At 41.9% G+C, this 20059-nt stretch overlaps 1 protein-coding gene across 30 annotated transcripts in view; it reads left to right on the top strand.

Moving 5' to 3' along the window:
- Positions 1-20059, top strand: part of BCL2L11 (BCL2 like 11) — a 47532-nt gene that overhangs the window by 12350 nt on the left and 15123 nt on the right. For 13 of the 30 annotated variants that reach the window (XR_007068189.1, NM_001204108.1, NM_138622.4 and 10 more), the window contains one exon: positions 16781-16884. The exons of 7 other annotated variants lie outside the window; for them this stretch is intronic. Coding sequence is in view for 21 of the 23 variants with exons in the window: in NM_001204108.1 (NP_001191037.1) it covers positions 16781-16884 (104 nt within the window). In the remaining 2 variants the exon portion in view is untranslated. Of the gene's footprint in view, positions 1-9049; positions 9129-11224; positions 11258-12685; positions 13022-16780; positions 19633-20059 lie in introns of those variants that run through there. 10 more of the 30 variants (XM_047442102.1, XM_005263556.4, XM_005263552.5 and 7 more) reach the window with 6 other exon arrangements.

The raw sequence follows: 20059 nt of genomic DNA on the forward strand, positions 1-20059 counted from the left end.
ACCTTGGAACTGCCATCCACAAACCAAGCAGCCATGTCTCAGGAGCAGAGATGGTGGAGTCTTACCCCCTTTCGCTTTTCTAATGTACGCATTTATTCAGCGCTAGAAATTTCCTTTCCACCACTGCTTAGCTGCATCCCACGTGTTTTGGTATGTTGTGTTTTCATTTTCATTGAGTTCTGTCTATATATTTTTAAATTTCCTTTGAGACCTCCTCTTTGACCCTAGGTTATTTAGAAGTGTGTTTTATTTCCAAAAATACCTAAGTGTGTTTTCTGTTACTGTTTTCTTTCTGATTCTGTTATGGTCAGAGAGCATATTTTATTCTATTTCGGTTTACAAATGTGTCGAGAATTTGTTCTGTAGCTCAGGATATGGTCTCTTTTGGTGACTGATCTATGCTGCTTGGGTACTTGAAAACATCTGTATTCTGCTGCTATTGGGTAGAGTGTTCGTTATATATACATCTTTCAGATCTTACTGGTTGATTGTGTTGTTCAGTTCTTCTCTGTCCTTGCTGATTTTACTGTCTTGTTCTGTCAGTTGCTGAGAATGTGGTGCTGAAATCCCCAGCTGTTTCCTTTCAGCTCTATTAGAGTTTGCTTCATGTCTTTTGAGGTGCTGCTGTTTGGAGTTTACACATTTAAAATGTCTTCAGGTTGGATCCAATCTTCTATCATTGCTGTAAAATGTACTTTATCTGGTATTAATAGCACTTCTGCTTTTTTAACATTAATGTATTAATGTTAACATAGTATTATCTTTTTCCATCCTTTCACTTTCCATCTGCATATGTTGTATTTGAGATAAGTTTTTTATATATGGCATGTCTTTAGATAAACCTGTTTTATCTAGTCTGCCCAATCTGTCTCTTAAATGGTCTAGACCATTTACATTTAAGATAATATATGTAAGTCTAAATGCCTTTTTGTTATTTGTTTTTTGTTTCCTCTGTTCCTTGTTTCTTTTTTTGTTTTTTAACCTTACTGTGGGTTATACGAACATTTTCTAGGATTTCGTTTTGATATGTTTATGGTGTTTTAAAATATATTGCTCTGTATCATTTTCTTAGTGGTTGTTCCAGGTATTACAGTATGTGTGTGAAATATATATTCTAAGTCTACTGGTATCAATGGTCACAGCATTTTATGATGGGAGCTGAAGAGTAGAAACCTTACTTTTCTTTAGGCTCCGTTAGCCCCATTTTTCCAATATAATTGTCTGAAGTATTTCCTCCATGTACATTGAGCACTGAATGAGTTGGTATTGTTATTTTTGCTTCAACCATCAAATATGATTTAAGAAAGTACTGTTAGTCTACCAATAGTCGCTTCCATTTTTCCCCTTCCAATGTTCTTTCCTTTCTGAAGTTCTAAGCTTTCTTCTTTTGTCATTTCCTTTCTGTTTAGAGAACTTCCTTAGTTCTTTAATGATAGGTCTGTTAGTAACAACTCCTCTGAGTTCTCCTTCTGGGAATGTCTTTATTTCCCCTTCAGTCCAGAAGGATATCTTCACGGAAGATAGAATTCGCAGTTGATGTATCTCTTTCAGTACTTGGAAAACATGCCACTTTCTTAGGGCCTCTATGGTTTTAGATGAGAAATCCCTTGTCATCTGAATTGGTGTTCTCAACTAAGTTATGTGTCATTCCTATGTGGCTGCTTTCAAGATTGTCTTTTAGTATTAAGAAGTTTAATTGTGATGTGTCTTGTCATGGGTTCTTTGGGTTTATCCTTTTTGGGGTGCACTCAGCATCTTGAATCTGGAGTTTCACGTTTTATGCCAGGTTTGGGAAGTTTTCAGCCATTATGTCTTTAAATACTTTTCCAGTCCCTTCCTCTCTTTTGGAACTCTGATGATAAGAATGTTAGTGCTTTTGTTAGTCCTGTAAGTTCCTGAGACTGTTCATTTTTTTCCAGTAGATTTTCTCTCTCTTCAGATTGAGTAAATTCTATTGATTTTGCCTCATATTCACTGATTGTTTTTAAAATTATGTTTAATTATATTTTTCAATTCTAAGATTTCTGCCTGTTTCTACTAGGTAAGTTGGAAGTTCAGATTTCTCCTTGGCTTTGCTGGTACTTTCCAAACAAAAGAGGGGCCCCAGTGCACACTGCTTTATTGTGTCCAGTTGTTGGGGGAGATGTGTAAGCTTGGCTCCCTCAGCCACTGCTGACACCAGGAAGCAGGGAGACCATAGAGGGCTGCCTCATACCTTGTTTCTGCAGAGTAGAGGTCAGAACTCAGCTTCCCTCTGAGGGAAGCTGACCCCACCAGGGGTGGGGGGGTCAGGTACAACATGCCAACCAGGCCCACTTTCTACTACCTGATTCTCCCTCTTTGATGCTAGATGGGAGAGTTCTCTTTTGTTCTCTTTAATTAGCCAGATGGGGCGAAGACTCAGTACCCACTGGGTGCCCAGACACCCAAGGCTGGGGCTGGGAGAGCCGATGGGCCCATGAACCCTGTTTTGCACTGTCTGGTTCAGTGGGTGTGTGTAATGTCATGTCAACTAACTAACCCCACCTTGTACCCACCCGTTGCTGTTTAGTAGAGGTGGAGGCTTAGCTCACTGCTCACTGCTCAGCCCCACTAATGTAACCCTGGGAGGGGATGTTAGATAACTGCCCTACTAACACTGCTTTGGCAGGGCAGCCGGATCACCTCTGCCTGCTTCTGCCAGGGAGGGTCTGGGAGATCGGCCTGCTGACACCATCTGGTGGTGGAATCAGAGCACCTCCTGCTTCCCCTGGGCTGGGGATGGGCTGGAAGATCAACTCCCCACTCTGGCCACGCGGTGCTGTGGGGCTGCTGCCAGGGGCGTTGTGGTTTTCCCGTTGCTGTTTGGCTAGAGTAGGGCAGGAGTCATGGAGTGGTTTTCTGTTGTTAGGTCACCCTCTTTTCAGTCCCTTGGCGATGGAGAACAGGCCTCCCATGGAGCTGTTATCTACGCCTCTTGGAAAGGCCCAGTTGGAGGTTTCTTCTGCAGCATGCTGTCCAGGATACATGGGAGTGAGGAAAACGGCATACTCCCTGTCCGTCATCCCTCAAGTCCTGAGGTCCCCAGCAGCCTGTCCTATTTCCCGCTTCAGTTTTCCTGGGCCTGCTTGCTGTGTTCTCTCTAGGGTTGTCTGAGGTTCTGTCTCGGGTTTTCAGTTGGGAGAGGAAGGACCTGGGGAGATGGCTCCTCCACCTTAGTGGAACTAGAGATCTGCAGCTTCCTTTAGGTGTTTATGGTGGCTATTTGTCTTAGTCCCTTTGAGCTGCTCTAATGGAATACCTGAGACTGGGTGGCTTACAAACAACAGAAGTTTATTTCTCACAATTCTGGAGGGTGATAAGTACAAGACAAAAGCAGGTTTGGTGTGCGGTGAGGGCCACTTAGACGGCACCTTCGAGCTGTGTCCTCGAGTGATAGAAAATGTGAGGGTTTCTCTGGGGTCTCTTTTGTGAGAGCACTAATCCCATTCCAATGGCCCCACCTCCTAACACCCATCACTTTCAAGGTCAGGTTTCAGCGAGAGTTTTGGGGGCATGTAACGTTTATACCATAGCAGTATCAGTTGGCTCTGGCTGCAAAGACTACTCTGAATTGTAGAAGTTACTTCTTCACTCCTTTTTACTCTCCATGTGGAATAACAGACTTACAATGATGGAAAGAGATTTAGCTGTGATCCAGGCCACCTTTTTCAGATGATAACCGTAATATCTATTGCTGTAACTCCACTGTGTGTGACTCTCATGGTGTGACCATAGGGCGTGCTCTGTGCTGCTTTCGAACATCACTCCTGAAAATGGCTGGGTAACCCAATTCCGATTTTATATGCCTTAGGGGGGACTTCTTACTAAAGATTCAGACTTGTTTTATATTTAGAGTACTTGTAGTAGGTTTAGAGATACACACCTAATTGCCAGTTGAATGCTGTACATTCTGATGCCTTGCTGCTTCACTTACTTTAAAACCATTAAATCTGATCATTGGCCCAGTCTCCACACACCTCATGTCTGTGGTCATCCTGCCTGTCACAGGACTCGCTATGAACCACCACCTCTCCCTGCCCATCTCCACCTCCCGCACCAGAATTAAGTTGTCTCCATTCCTTCTTTGTTAGACCAGCCTCAGTCTCTTGGTGTATTCCTCATGTGGTGACATTTCTAGCCTAATCCACTTCTGGTCCCTGCTCGGTCAATGGCTGAGACTTGTGCTGGGGCATCTGACCTCAGACTGCTTTCCTTCTCTGCAAGTCTCATCACACCTGTCCTTGGAGACCTCACAGGCTTGGTCCTGTGCTGACTGTAAGCTCTGTGCCACCCACATCTCAGACCCTGCACTGCAGGCATAGAGCAGAAGATGTAACATTCCTCCCCACTTTTTTTTTTTTTTTTTTTTCAGGAAATGCTAGCAGAAACATATATGCAAGGGGGTTCATCACAGCATTGTTTATACAGCCAAACGACTGTCCTTGGTCCTCTAATGGGAGGGGAGAATCTACATTATTCTGCCCTTTTTTTGGCAGACTGGTGCTGTCTTCATGGTGTTAAAAAGAATAATGGCATAGGGGAAATGCCTGTTGGCCTGATGTTAAGTTTTAAAAAGCTGCAAGATTATTTATGATAGTCTAGTTTAATATTAAAGAAGTTCATTGGCATATCAAAAATATAAGAATACATTAAACTGTCAGTAGTGGGTATTGTTGTATTTTCGTTACAGGTGGGCTTTTCTCCCTTTTTTCTTTCTTTCTTTCTTTCTTTTTTTTTTTTTTTTGAGATAGAATCTTACTGTCACCCAGGCTGGAATGCAGTGCCATGATCTCAGCTCACTGCACCCTCCACCTCCCAGGTTCAAGTGATTGTCCTGCCTCAGCCTTCTGAGTAGCTGGGATTACAGGCACCCACCACGACGCCTGGCTAATTTTTGTATTTTTAGTAGAGACAGGGTTTCACTATGTTGGCCAGGCTGGTCTCGAACTCCTGACCTGAAGTGATCCGCCTACCTCGGCCTCCCAAAGTGCTGAGATTACAGGCGTTGAGCCACTGCTCCTGGCCACAGGTGGTCTTTTCTGTGTGCCTTTGTGTATGTACACAATTGTCATAACTAGTATTATGTTTATAATCAGAACAGATTTAATAGATAATACTTACTAAAACTTTTGCTCTTTATAATTTTAATCTTTGTTTTTGGCATTCCCAGCAGCCTGTCACTGGGCATGCATACCTTGTTTGTGTGATTCAGTGTTAACCGTTGTGTCTTTTGCATTGTTGAAGATTTTGTCCAGGCTGATCAAGCTTTGGTCCCATCAGGACCATCACCGAAAGTACTCGGGGTGAACATTAGCCCCCTAATTTACTCTTTTGGGGTCTGCCTTTTTATTTTTTGCAAAGTGAGTAATCTCTCAGGGAACATCTCCATCGGACAGGATCATGGATGGATTTGGTGTTGGCAGGTTGCTCTTGGTAGCTGTCTCCCCCACAGGCTGCTCTTGGGTCTGGAGCAGGTTTTGGGTCGGGTCCTGCCTGCCCTCCATGGAACCTGGGCGGAGCAGTGAGTCTGTCTGAGCTTCAGCTTCCTCAGCCATCAAGTGAGGACATAGTGCTCACCTCTGAGGGTCATGGGGAGTTTTTCCATAAGCAAATCGACAGAAAGCCCCTGGTAGAAACTCGCACAGGAATCTTTCCTTGCCCCTCAATGAGCCCTCAGCCCTGGCAGGTTAGTGAGCATGACTGTAATGAAGTGCTCTCTACTGCTTTCCGTGGAAAGGAGCTGTCGTTCCAGGAGTATAGGAAACTCCTAGGGAAGTGAATTCATCTGGAAATGCTACTATAATTCTAATCCCCTGGGTCCCAGAACAAACAAGCAAGCAAAAAAGAACATCTTTTCTAGAAAGTGGCCTGGAGGGGGGCGTGGGAAGAGGAGGTCTGAATCACCCCTAACCTGCCAGTGAACCAAACATCACCTGAGAAGAACCTCAGCTTCTTGGGTAAATCATGGAGAGACATCTGGAAACCTGCCCCACCCCAGCGCTGTCTGAATTGGGGGTGAGTTGGGGACACCTGCTGGAGACGGCCCATTTGATTTGGCAGAAACTTGACTATAATTCAAAATGTGTCTTGAGACATGAGACATAGACTCAAGTACTTTTTCTTGCAATCCAAACTTACGTACTTTTTCCCAAAATAAGGGATACATTGGTTGCTCGTGGATTTAACATTAGGAGTGTTCATTGTGTGAATGAAATCAAGACTTCTACAACTGCGTTTTCCTTCTTTTCCCTGAGGTAATTAAACTCCTTTAGTGAGAAGACAATTTAGACAGACTGTTGGCCATTGATAATCAAAATTTTGATATTTCTAAGTGAGTGAGTTATGGATCCTTCTTCTTGGTAACCTTTTTTCACACACTATGAGGTAGCGGAAGTAAACCGTCAGTATAAACAACATGTACCCGGTTTAACCCGTTTGTAAGAGGCCAGGCCTTCGTGGTTTTAAGTATTTGCTTAGAATGAATTTGTCTCCCCAGTGTCCTCTGGGAAACCAAAATGTGCTTTGTATTTTCTCTTCTCTGCCTTGGACCAGATCCACATGATTCGTGAGTAGAGTTGCCAAGACAGGTGTGGCAAGAAATAGCCCTGAGACAGGGCTGCTGGCACGCAGCTCTCCTCCTGTTCTGCCTTTCTGTGTGGACCACGAGGCAGCAGTGAGGGCTTCCCATGGAGCATGTCTCCCTTTCAGTCACACATCTTGCGCTCACAGTCACTGCCAGCCAGTTGACTGCAAGTGCTGTGTCTGTAAACCTTGCAGTGGGGACTTGACATTGCTTTCAGAGTGAGGAAACCGAACTTGGGGATTTGGACATGAGTCTGGGCTGTGCTTAGTGTTGGAGCCCCGGGTTGAACTTGGGTCTTTGGTACTGGCAGACTGCCCTCTGCACAGTACATAATGCTTGGTTTAGTTTGGACTTCCCTTTCTTAGGAGTGAGATGGTTTTGAAGCTAAAATTTAAAAAAAAAATCATTTCAAGCTGATAAGAGTGTGTGTGTTAAATGGAAACACGTTCAATATAAGGATTTCAGCTATTTGAAATACCTTGGGGCCTTTTCCCCCCAAAATATATTGTATTCCTGGGTCATAACATGCTTCCCATTCCAGTTCCTAAAACATTTTACTATTAGCAGTTTATAGAAGACTTACGGAGTGGTTTGATACTTTTTTCAAAGAAGGCAGCTTAAGTGGATGGAATCTGATTTTCTCTTAGGCACGTGCATCTGCGAAGGTGTCTGAGGTGAGCCAAGCTCGATAACCTGATTTGTTGAGTGAGTTACTTTTCTGTGGGATGTGTGGTGGAGAAAAGACTAGAAGTGTATTTTCTTGTTGATTTGTCTGTTATTTGGTCCCTTGAGAAAGGCATTAACCTGAAGTAGTCTATAGTGAATTCTGAATAGATACAATGTTAGTATATATGTGAGTTTACACCTCATTTTTGCTGATACTTGATCATAAATTCTACTAAATTAGTCAAAACAACAACTTAAGAAAAAGTTTGATACATAGCAGGAGTGCAATATTTGTTGATTTAAAGAGACTCTCATTAGCGTTTAATGCAATATACGAGTGCCACCAGTTCCTTCTCTTTTCACTTGGATTTCACCAGGGTGCTCATTTGAAGCTTAGAACTCTGTCCTCGGCAAAGAAAGCCTGGCATACACTGTACAAGGTGTTGACTCATCTTTGTGTTCCTCTGCTCCTCTAGTGTGAGGTGTGGAGTAGGAGGTTCCAGCAGGTGACCCAGCCCAGCCTTGGTCCTCCCATAGGCCTATTAACAACCCTGGGGCAAATGCCTTAGCCTGCCTGGAAATCTCAGTGTTAGGGCCATGGCCCTTCCGCAGTGGTCATAGCAGTGTAGGGAGTTGGTGCCTATGGGGAACTGGCCTACATTGAGTTAGAACAATCCACACGTATGTTTATTGCGGCATTATTCACAATAGCAAAGACTTGGAACCAACCCAAATGTCCAACAATGATAGACTGGATTAAGAAAATGTGGCACATATACACCATGGAATACTATGCAGCCATAAAAAATGATGAGTTCATGTCCTTTGTAGGGACATGGATGAAATTGGAAATCATCATTCTCAGTAAACTATTGCAAGAACAAAAAACCAAACACTGCATATTCTCACTCATAGGTGGGAATTGAACAATGAGATCACATGGACACAGGAAGGGGAATATCACACTCTGGGGACTGTTGTGGGGTGGGGGGAGGGGGGAGGGAGAGCATTGGGAGATATACCTAATGCTAGATGACGAGTTAGTGGGTGCAGCACACCAGCATGGCACATGTATACCTATGTAACTAACCTGCACATTGTGCACATGTACCCTAAAACTTAAAGTATATAAAAAATAATAATAATAATAATCCCAATTCTTGTGAGTTTTTTTTTTTTTTTGAGACGGAGTTTCGCTCTTGTCACCCAGGCTGGAGTGCAATGGTGCCATCTGAGCTCACTGCAATCTCCGCCTCCCAGGTTCACGCGATTCTCCTGCCTCAGCCTCCTGAGTAGCTGGGATTACAAGCAGGTGCCACCATGCCTGGTGAATTTTTGTATTTTTTTAGTAGAGACAGGTTTTCACCATGTTGGCCAGGCTGGTCTTGAACTCCTGACCTCAAGTGATGTGCCCACCTCAGCCTCCCAAAGTGCTAGGATTACAGGCGTGAGCCACTGCACCCGACCAGAACAATCCCAATTCTATCTGTATCACACAGTGTGTTTCTCATCTAGGATACAGACTCACTGGGCAGCAGCCGTGTCTGCCCTGGAAAGTGGGGGCATCAGGGAGGAGGAGGAATGTGTGAACCTAAACACATGGAAGACCTTCAAAAGCACCAGAACACAGTCTTTCAGCACAGAATTCTTTACATCCTTAACTTGCACTTGTGCTAATGAAGACTCTACCTCCTGTTCTTTTCCTTCTGTGACAAAACAAGTTATCTGTCTGGGAAGACATGGCACAATTTATTTATACAACATTTTTATGGCTTGCAGATGACTCCGCTGGATCCTCCCTCAGAATTGCCCTTCATAGGGAAGTTCAGTGGCCACTCAAGTGGTTAGCAAAATCAAGGTGAAAAGTTTTTCTTTTTATTCAAAATGGGATAAAAAGAAGCAGCTGCCTTTTGTGACTTTTAAGTGAGAAGCTTTCATTATGTCTTAGCCCTACAGTGTGTTATCAATAATCATATCTGTGTTAAATTGTACTTCACTTTGTATATCACCATTGTAAGTTTTAACCGTATACATTATAGGCTTTTTCCATTTTTATTTTAAAAACTGTTTAAGGTGTAGCTTTTTAAGGATTCTGTTTTTGCTCTTATTTTTTACCTGTGTCTTGGTCTTTCTTATCATGGAGGTGAAAACAGTAATACTGAAGACCTTAATGTGAGTTTAGGAGAAAAGATGTTAATCACCAGTTTCCTGCTACTGGTTTTAAATTTCATAGAGGAAGCCACACTTATTTTGTCATCAGAAATTCTTATATTTTTTGTTTAAATTCTCATCTCCCTCCCCTCTTGCCCAGATCTGGTTTTTTGGCTAGAAACAACTTACAGTAACTTCAAATTAAGCATTTTAATTCTAAGGAATGGTCTTAAGTGAACCAATGTATATAGAGTTTTATCTTTACTTTTAAAAGGTCTCTAAAGCATTTTTCTTCTTATGGGGAAATAAATTGGGTAGTTTACCTCGTCAGTAGAAAAAATATAGGGATTTGTGTCTTTGCACTAAAGTAATTTCAGGGTTGGTCTTCTTTTAGCTGTCCTTAGTTTTGGGATTATTTTTGTTTTTCAGAATAAAATGGCACAGGTCAGATACTTTTAATCCCCTGAAAGTAATCTAAAGCTATAGAAATGGAGCTGTGGCTGTCGCAGAGACTTACTAGGATGAAGGTTGGTGTAGAAAAACTAAGGAGTAGTAGCAGTATTCAGTGTCCCGTGTCTTTCCCCAGAAGAACACTGGCAGAACACCAGGGGCAGAACACTGTCACACACTATTCAGAGCAGCGATTTCAGGAGCACACCAAGGCGGGCCAGGTGGTCAAGGGGCTTCCCAGGGGATGTCATACAAGGCACATGGAAAGAACTGGTTTAGGACCAGGTTTGGCACAGGTTCACTGACAAAAAGTGGGGTGATGATTGAGAGGGATCATAGATTTCCTTTATAGTCCCAGGGGCAGAATCAAGATTGAAGTGGGGCTTAGAAGGGAACATTTCAATTCCCTACGAGGAATAGCATCGTAGCACTCAGTGTTCTTCAGCGAGGACAGCAGTGCCTTAGGAAATGTGCATCTGTCCCAGGAAGCGGGCACACAGGCTGGGAGTCTTAGAGGGCTCCTGCTCAGGTCTCCCACATGGTGCAAGATGCTGGGCTTCTGTCGTGACTCAGCTGGGGATGTCCTTGAGTATAGGGATCACAGCTCAGTCTGGGTTTGCTCCTGGCTTGTCCCCAGCTGCTAGTAAATATGTTAATATGTGTGTCGGGGACAGCTCTGGTGACATGGATAATTAGTTTTTCTGATGTTGAATGAGAAATGAGTAAAAAGGCATAACACATTAATCTTAATGTCTTTAGACTTGTATTTTTATTATAAGGGACAGATAATAGTGAATGAGGGAAAAAATCTCATGAACACTAGTTTCCAGACTTCTGTCCAACTTCACAGCCTTGGTTTACTGGCAGTTTCCAAATGGTCAGGCTGGAAATTGATGAAAGCTGTTTCTTTTGACCATGGCTCCATAAAGGCAATGGGCAGTGCACGTTGAAAGAGTAAGTATGAAAACACTGGCCTCATCTCATAAACTTTATTATTGATAGTATTTTATCCTAGCAGCTGTTTTTGAAGCACTGTCTTGAATTCATGTGACTGCCCAGGCTTTTGACACAAATGTGTTCCAGGGAGACAGATTGAGGAATCTTTGAGTACTAATGCTGTCATCGTATTTCTCATAGCTTTTGTTTTCATCCAGTGGCTCAGCGGAATTGATTGGGATTGCCAAAAAATAAAATGATACAAGTGAGAAATAGACCTGGAGGGAGGTGTGTGTGTGTGTTGTTGGTTACTTGCTTATTTTATTTCTGAGAACCGTCAGAGTTGAGGATTTCAAACATGATTCTGATAGCATTTACCGCAAACGCTGATGGCAGTTGCTCTCCTTTGCCTTATAGCTAACTGGGACTAGAAACAGCTCCATCACCCAGGTGAGTTTTATAAGGAAACATAAGGGGGCTGGTCTGTTGCTTCCCTCCTCTTGTAAGCTTTGGATAACTCTGAATTTAGAAAGATATTTCTGAAGATATTTAAAGAAGGAGACTTACAGAGTTGAATAAACATCCTGGAATTTTTCTTTCTCTAAATGAATGTCAGCTTCAGAGAGCCCACCTGCAGACAGAGGCAGTGACTCCCCTAAACATTTTCGGAGTATCTCTTGGAATTGGTTTAAAGCTGGTTTCAGAGTCCACAAAGAAATGGCCCTTTACAGGATCCTTTATTGCTTTTGGTGGTTAAAGCAGAATCTCTCTGGAGAGTAAAGGTAGACAGCCCTGCAATGTCTGAAGGACAGGCCTTCTTTCTCCTCACACCCCTGCAGTCCCTGGCTGTGCCTGGCTGTTTCCCGCAAGTGCCAGACAGAATGTGCACTTTTTGGCTAAGTATGTTCTATTATGTGTGTAAAATCCTCTCTCAGTTCTGAGTTGAATATCGATTCAAAGCTTAATTCACGCTGATGACTTGAAAATCTAATCTTGATTCTACTCGAGTGTTTGTAGATATCTGAACATCTGAAAACAGTACAGAGTGCAGCGTTCCTGTGAATTTTAATTTGGTTTCTGGTACTACACTTGAAATTCCAGTAATGATAAGATGGGAACTAAAACAGCAGCTGCCCCTCGGAAATGAGGGTCGCACCACCTCGTTCCCAGACTGAGGCTGCAGTTGAGAATGCTTGTGTGTGACATGCCCCTGCCACCCAGTACACACACCTGAGTCATTAGATGTCACTTTATGGCATCGTCACAGAGAACAACTGGGTTTTGGAGAGAGAATGTCATGATGTGACTTCATTTCCTTGGAGCACTGGGATAGAGGCTCTTGGGTTAGAAGCTCTTGGACATTAAAGAGAAATCAGAAGGTTTAGCCTGACTGATACTGAGCTCATTATAGATTGACAATCTCTCTTTTTTTAAAAAAAAAAGTTTCCTGCCGTGGCTGCTGCTACAGAAAGTCCTTTGTGAAAGCCCCAGCCTGATTTCACTATCAACCACTTAACCACGGTATTAATTTTTCAGTTGTTGAACTTTTAAGATTTTAAATTACTTAAGACTTTAAAAATAGTCTGTTGCTGAGCCAGAATAGTTTGTTAAGAAACATGCATCTTTGAGTAGAACTAAAGTCCCTTGGTGTTGGAAAATGCCCTCCACACTCCTCCAAAAATGGATTAAGAATACTTCATGGTATTTTCCCATAGGTAGTAATGTTACCAGTAAGTTCCGGGCTTCAAAAAATGATTTCTAAGAAGTTTGAAGATTCAGTGGACACACTTTTGGCAAAAATTGCTTATATCTGACATATTGCATTATAAAAGTTTTGATTAGTGGCTTTCTTTTTTTTTTTTTTTTTTTTGTAACAAGTAAAGAGAAAGAAAACATGGATCTGCCTAGGAAGTCACCTCTGCCTGAGTCTGCTACTTGCAGGATTGGAGCTTTTGCTGCAGATTACAGCTTTGAAGTCACTTTACCTCAAGAGCAGTTTATATTTTATTGTGCTTTAAAAAAAAAATTTAGTGCCAGGTTTATGGAGTGAAGTGCTTTCATAAATGCTGAAACTACATTTTCTGTGGGTAAAAATGCAGCTCATCAGAATTTCCCCTTTGAAGAATTTTTTATGTTCACATAAAATTGCCAAGTTAAAAATTTGATCTCCCTACAGAGTAAGAGCTTTCATTTCAAATAAAACCATTTTATAGACCAGGTATCAACATTTACGGCGGTCAGACACATTGCAGATAGCAAAATAAAATATTTATGCTTGGTTCTTACTTTTCTTATAAACTAGAAATGTCAACCTAAGTTATCTTTTTGATAGCTCGAGTATGTTAGGATAGGAGGAATTGGGTTGAGTATCCAGGTAAGATTACAGGAGTGAGGGTGGAGCAGCGTGTGTTTGGAGATTTCTGTATGCCAAACCCCACGGGCTCCAGGCACGCTTTTGGAAGACCATACCGGTGGATCCCTTTGTCATCGTGGTGGCAAAGCAAACTGATGCTAAAGGAAATAACAAAACTTAATTCTCGTGCTGATCGGTGCCACTGTGGGGCTTACAGACCCCATTCATTTGTTCTGGTTGATTTCATGTGGTGTGAGACTCACTAACATTGAATTAGTGATGAAGTTAAAGAGAGGCTTTCTCTATCCCCATAGAAGATATTTTGTCACTTAAGAAATAATTGAACTTTATGTTGCACTGTACTAACAGATTAAAACTACCCTTTTAAAATACAGGAATAAATAAGAGTTAAAATAAGAGTTTTTATCATATAGTCTTTATAGCCATGTACTACTGTGTGCATACTAGCTAGGTCTTATTGCAGGATGAGTGTTTGCCATTACTTTTAGGTTTATAAATTCAGGAAATAACTGTATTTGCATCTCAAAAAAACAAACTGGTTTTTAAAAAAATAGTGATAGGTGCTAGTTAGAGTAGCCCTTACAGATCAGTCTTTTTTGCAAAATGTAATTTATAGTATCTATTTCCATAATAACTTTTTAAAACTACACCTAAGTACAGTTGATAGCTCTTACTAATGTAGTTATTGCCAATTCCAGTATAAGCCTAGTCTCTAAACCATTATCTTTGCTTAATACAACTCTCCTAACTCTGAAATGCTAAAGACACATCTCAGGGCTCCAGAGCATTGCCATGGTTTCTTGCCTTTTGCCCACCAGGGTCTGGTTGGGAAACCGTCTGCACCAGAGTTGCTTAGGGACTTGAAAGAGTACAGCCTCCTGTATCTCTCTCTCTCTCTCTCTCACACACACACACACACACACACACACACACACACACACACACACCCGCCATTTCTCCCTGCCAGAGCTTAGGGATGTGTTTATATCCATGAATTTATTTAGGCTAATTAATGTTAACTACTGAACTTTTCTTTTTGTACAAGAAACAGGCCATTCGTTTATTTGCTTCTGCCAAAGCCAGCAGGGCATTTATCTCTTAAGATGAGTAAGTTGAAATTGGCTAATTTGTTAAAAGCTCCTACCTGCTGGCTAGGTTGAATGCATTCACTAAGTGCTAGTTTTGATAGGTTGGCTTCTGACAGAGACTGCCCCTTGATAGTATTTGGTGGTATTTGCAATTGCCAGCCCAAGCACGAGCCATGTGGAAGCTTCTAAACCACAGACACAAGTCAAAGTGTTAAAGAGAATCCAGTGGACTTAATTTACGAGTTAGGGGAAATTGACAGGGGGAATTATTTTTGTTTTGTCTTATAAAAAGTATAAAATATGTCTCCTTGTCCCAAAGAAATTTAGCAGTTAGTTGAAATCAAGTGGTTAATCTACAAGAAGGTAAGCCCCGTGGGAGCAGGGCATGGCCTCCTTTGTTGCTATACCCAGAGCACCTCCTAGAACAATGTCAGGCATGTGAGTGTTTGTGTTTGTTGAGTGGATTTGTGAATATCATTGATGTATTAAGTATTGGGTAACTTGGCCTGCAATTTTTACCAGTCTGCCAACTTTATAAAACATCAATCTGTAGTTCACAGATGTCCTTTTGATAATTGGTGTTTTCTTCACTTCTGACTCCGGGGCTGAAGGCAGTTTTCTCTCTCAGTCATGTGTAGTGAGAAACAGGTGGAGCTTGAAGCTCAGGAGAGGTGGGTGATGGTGTCTTGCTGGCTGGACGTTCACTTGTGCATATGGGTAGGCACACCTCCTTTAGGAGGACTGCATGAGACCCTTGTGCAGTGGGTGCCCAAACAAAACACACTTTTCTTCTTCCCCTAAGGGCGAACTAACTTGTTAAAAGCTTCTAAATCAGGGAAAGAACACTTAAAAAGAGTAGCTCTTTAAGGGGCAGTAAGCCCAGGAAAAGGAACTATGACATCAGCATCACCTCATATCACATCTACCCAGAAATTTTGTTTTCTCCCAGTTTAGTTCAAAAATTAATTTTAAGACTTTTTACAGATTTGTTAGAAATATTTGTGTGACACAGGTACAATCAAAGTAAATTTTGTATGATTGGATGTATTCAGAGGCCATGCCTGACATCCTGAAAGTTTCCCCTTCATCAGCCTTTGTGCTTCTCCACCAGGGCTTCCTACAGCAGTTCCTCCCTCTGGTTTATTCACAGACTGCAGATAACTCTGGAGGGGATCGGTGTGTGTCCCTCTTACCCCACTGCCACCCCCACAGGGGTGGTGTGATATTCTGCCTCTCCTAGGCCCTCAGTCTTTGTGGGATTATTGTTAAATTCACTTGGGTATAAGATGAGGCAAGAGATTGTAGAGGAATTGGCAAAAACTCTTCAAAGTGTTCACTTTTAAGTGTTTTTATAGAGCTCTGAATCAGTATCAGTTTTACTGGCCTTTTACAAAAATAAAGACAGGAAGTTATGTTCCTTCGTATGGCAAAATCCTATTATCGTAGGTTTTTACCTATTTTGTTCTGGTGAAAACGTAATATGTGTGTTTAATTGTGAGTACGGTGTGCCCATTTTTACAGTAAGTTAACGTAAGTCACACGTGAATAGCGGTGGAAATCCAAGAATTTTATCTCATTTCCTGTACACGTTACTGAACTGTTCACCTCTGAGTGTAATGCTTTCCTGGTGGCACATGGAGAATATAATCTTCCTAATGCATAATGGGATCTTTTGACAACTCACATTTTTGTTCTCCTTCATTTTTGGCTGTCACATGGCTTTTAATGGTTTCATTAGTAAACAGATGAATGTACTGGGTGTGAATGTTAGTGACAGCTTAATGAAAGGGCAGTCCTCCCTCTTTCTTCTCCTTTCAAAAATGCCTTTGCTCTTAGACCCAAAAACATGTTTTCTCTCCATGTGGTGTTTGCAGACTTGAGCTCATCTTGATTGGCTGCATTAATATTGAGACAAAACATGCAATTATGCTTTCATTTGGCCCTGGGGTAGCCATTCTGAAGACAGCTGTCTGTATCATTGTACCTGCTTTCATAGAAACCAACTTATTCAGGTTTCTCAGGGTTTCGCTTATTTTGCTTTGAATGGGACAGCCATTTCACCTCATATTTTTGGATGATGTTTGAAAGTTATATAGGAATATTTGCCTTGTAATAAGATCAGAATGATTATTTTACTGAAAAACTAAATTGTTATGTTATAATTATGTTTCAAGCATATTTCTTTGGCAGTATTTTCCATTTTCTTGTGAGTAACTTCTGGAAATGGAAGTGTGTATGAATGGGTTGGAATGTTTTCAGTTCTTGCAATTCTGAATCTCCAGTTTTAAAAAAGGAAATTTTATTCTATATCTCTTATTCTTTAACCAGAGTTATGTAGAAGACTCTGCCACTCTAATCTTTAGTACATGGCTGTAGTTGTTGAAGTCAGGGAGCTCCCAGAAATGTGAAAGAGTGTGTGAGATGGGCTTGCCTCTAGAGACTTATCTTTGGAACTTTCCCAGTGATCTGTGGACCACAATGTGATTTTTGTTTTGTTTTGTTCTGATGCAGCTTCCATGAGGCAGGCTGAACCTGCAGATATGCGCCCAGAGATATGGATCGCCCAAGAGTTGCGGCGTATTGGAGACGAGTTTAACGCTTACTATGCAAGGAGGGTAATGATGTTTTCTTTACCCGCTTTTCTGCTCACACCCTCCCCTTCCACACTATATTTTTTTAAAAAGACAGTGACTTCTTGTAACTACATGCTAATTCTGGAAATGATTACTGTTGCCTAGTTGTGACCTTTCATTGTTTCTCCTTTCCCATTTTTCATTTGTTTTATGACTAAGTAATGGCACTTAAATAAAATAATACAGTAGGAGGCAGCAAAGGAATTTTATGAGCACAGACTTTAAAACAATGCTAAAAAAGGGATTATTTATAGACTTTGAGATAGTCTAGAAATACTATTAACATAGGTTTCAATCCATGTAGTGTGTTTCTGTACTCCCCTTGTGCATTTTAGGTCAAAGTTAAAGGTAATTTTTAAACAACATCTTTTGTCACTTAGCGCATGGGAGCGATGCCAGCACTCATGTAAAAGACTCTCCTGCAATTTGCAGGGTGGCCCGAGGAAGCAGGGAGCCATTGCCCTTGCAGAGCCCATTGCTGTCTTTGGACATTTAATTGTTGAAATGTATTAGGAGGCCGCTAATCAATAGCCTGTAATTTGGGCTGTAAAAACTTTATATTATAGATAATTGCCACTTATTTTGAGCTATGTTCTTGATTTTTTAAAAATTTTAGCCTATGTCATCTTCTGTAGTTAGTAGAAGCGGTGTTTTTTGTTTGTTTTACCTGGGGGCAATGTAGGTGACCATTTGGACACCTTTTTCACATGGGACACTTTTGTTTGTTTGTTTGTTTGTTTGTGTGTGTGTTTGTTTTTGAGACGGAGTCTTGCTCTGTCACCAGGCTGAAGTGCAGTGGCGCAATCCCAGCTCACTGCAACCTCCGCCTCCCAGGTTCAAGTGATTCTCCTGCCTCAGCCTCTTGAGTAGCTGGGATTACAGGCGCCTGCAACCACACCCAGCTAGTTTTGTATTTTTAGTTGAGATGGGGTTTCACCATATTGTCCAGGATGATCTCGATTTCCTGACTCTGTGATCTGCCTGCCTCGGCCTCCCAAAGTGCTGGGATTACAGGTGTGAGCCTCTGCGCCTGGCCGCATGGGAGACATTTTTAAATGTGTAGACTTTGACTCCAGGAGTTAGTACCATTGGGAACACCTGTGACTGCTTCCGCTAAAGGGTACACTAGCAAATGTGTGATATAGTGTATTTACTTGTTCACAGAGTTTTAAACACCTCATATAAAGGTATTAATTCAGTTGATTTATCCAAAAGGAAGACACTAATTCTTATTTTGTGGAAAATGTTATAGTTGTTAATATCATTTATTCTTACCCCTTCTCTTTTAGCTCTTTTTTTTCTGAACGTTGTTGTTTTATATAAGTACCTCTTAAAAGTTTTTTTTTAATCTGTTTTCTAGGGGAGGTCATGCTTGGTTAATTGTTGCTAAGTAAATGGATTTTACCTTTGATTATTATTTTTCTGCCTTTATACAATGTGTTTTAGGCTTCTTTTAGACAAATAGACATTTTCCCATTACAAAGGACACTATCAGTTCTTCAGTATGGAATTTCTGTAAGAGTCAAGAAAACACACATCGGATCTTCCTACCTTTCTGTGGGGGTGTTTGAGGAGAGTGCTGTAGTAATGATTCTGTTGTAAAATGGGAAGTGTGACATTGATGGACTTAAGAATTTCTTAAAATACTGTCTTAAGCTGGCAAAACTCCTGGCATCCTCCACCTGACATAAACCAGTTCACAGAACATTCCAGCCTAGATCTGAAATGGTAATTTTTTTGGAACTTTGGTTGGTTTTATAACTTGTCACTGAAGTAACCATTCCCTCCAGTTCCTCTGCCTTGGTTTACCTAAAGGGATTTTGGTGTTCCTGTGTGTGACTGGAAGTGGCTGTCTCTATTGACTAGGAAGAACTGGTGAGAAGTGGGACCACAGTGTATTCAGGATCAAAGTGGGGAGGACATGAGTCCCTTTAAGAGGGTAGGTGAATACACTCAAGTCCCGATTCTGGTATTGTGTCCAGAATCCAACAGGACAGATCATTTCTGATGGGTATGGAGACATCTCTGAACCTAGGCAATGAACTGACCATCCCCTGGGCCTGTCTCCTTCCCGTCTGGAAGGGGCTTTGTAGACACCCTCGGGGCAAGATCTGCCTTAGATGGGGCTGCCTGAGAGAAAGAGGTGGCAGTAGGCCTTGCCTGGTGCCCACAGTGTCTCCCTGCTGCCAAGAGCTCTGGGTACTGAGATAAGCTTGCACATTCTCAAGGATTCTGTTAGAGATTTTGACCGCAGAGCTGGTTGTGTTAAAGGATATTATACAAGTTTCTCTTTAAAGCATGCAATATGAATGCATGACTCCACAAGGCTTTCCTGTGGGCCTGCCCAGATGGACCTGGTGGATGCACCTCCATGGCTGCCATGAGTGGTCAGTGACAAGACATAGGCTAAGGCTGGCATGGGGACTGGAGTGCATCCCAGTCCCCGGCCATCCTCTTGTGAAGGCTGTCAAGGTGGGGAATAGTTTGAGTCATATGCAGATGAAACCTAGGCTGCTGGGTTGTCTTTGTTACCTTGCCTCTCTGTTGAGGATGTGATAGCAGCACCTAACAGGTTCATAGCCTGCCTCCCCTCCTCTTCTCCCAATGTCATTTCACAGTTTAATGTTTAAGCGTATGTTTAAGATGGTCATGTCTGTGTTTCCAATAAGATGCAACCTATTGTTCCCATGCTTTTGGTAAATTAAATTTGTCTGATTGCAGTATTTACAAGGTTTTGTCATTGTGCATCTTTTGCATATCTTAAAAATAATTCAGTGCAAAAATACAGTCACAAATCATTAAAGGACTTTAGCTTTGTTAGTAGGCTGGGATATTAGGGGGAAGGAGTAGGGATAGATTCTAGGTTATAACCCAATTTTTCTAAAACAAAGGTAAATATATTCAGATTTTATAAATAGCGCAAAACACAAGGCTGGGTACGGTGGCTCACACCTGTAATCCCAGCACTTTGGGAGGCTGAGGCGGGTGGATCACCAGAGGTCACGAGTTTAAGACCAGCCTGGCTAAGATGGTGAAGCCCCGTCTCTACTAAAAGTACAAAAAATTAGCTGGGTGTGGTGGTGGGTGCCTGTAATCCCAGCTACTCGGGAGGCTGAGGCAGGAGAATTGCTTGAACCTGGAAGGCGCAGGTTGCAGT

This window comes from Homo sapiens, chromosome 2, assembly GCF_000001405.40.
Source record: "Homo sapiens chromosome 2, GRCh38.p14 Primary Assembly".
Classification (NCBI taxonomy): domain Eukaryota; kingdom Metazoa; phylum Chordata; class Mammalia; order Primates; family Hominidae; genus Homo; species Homo sapiens.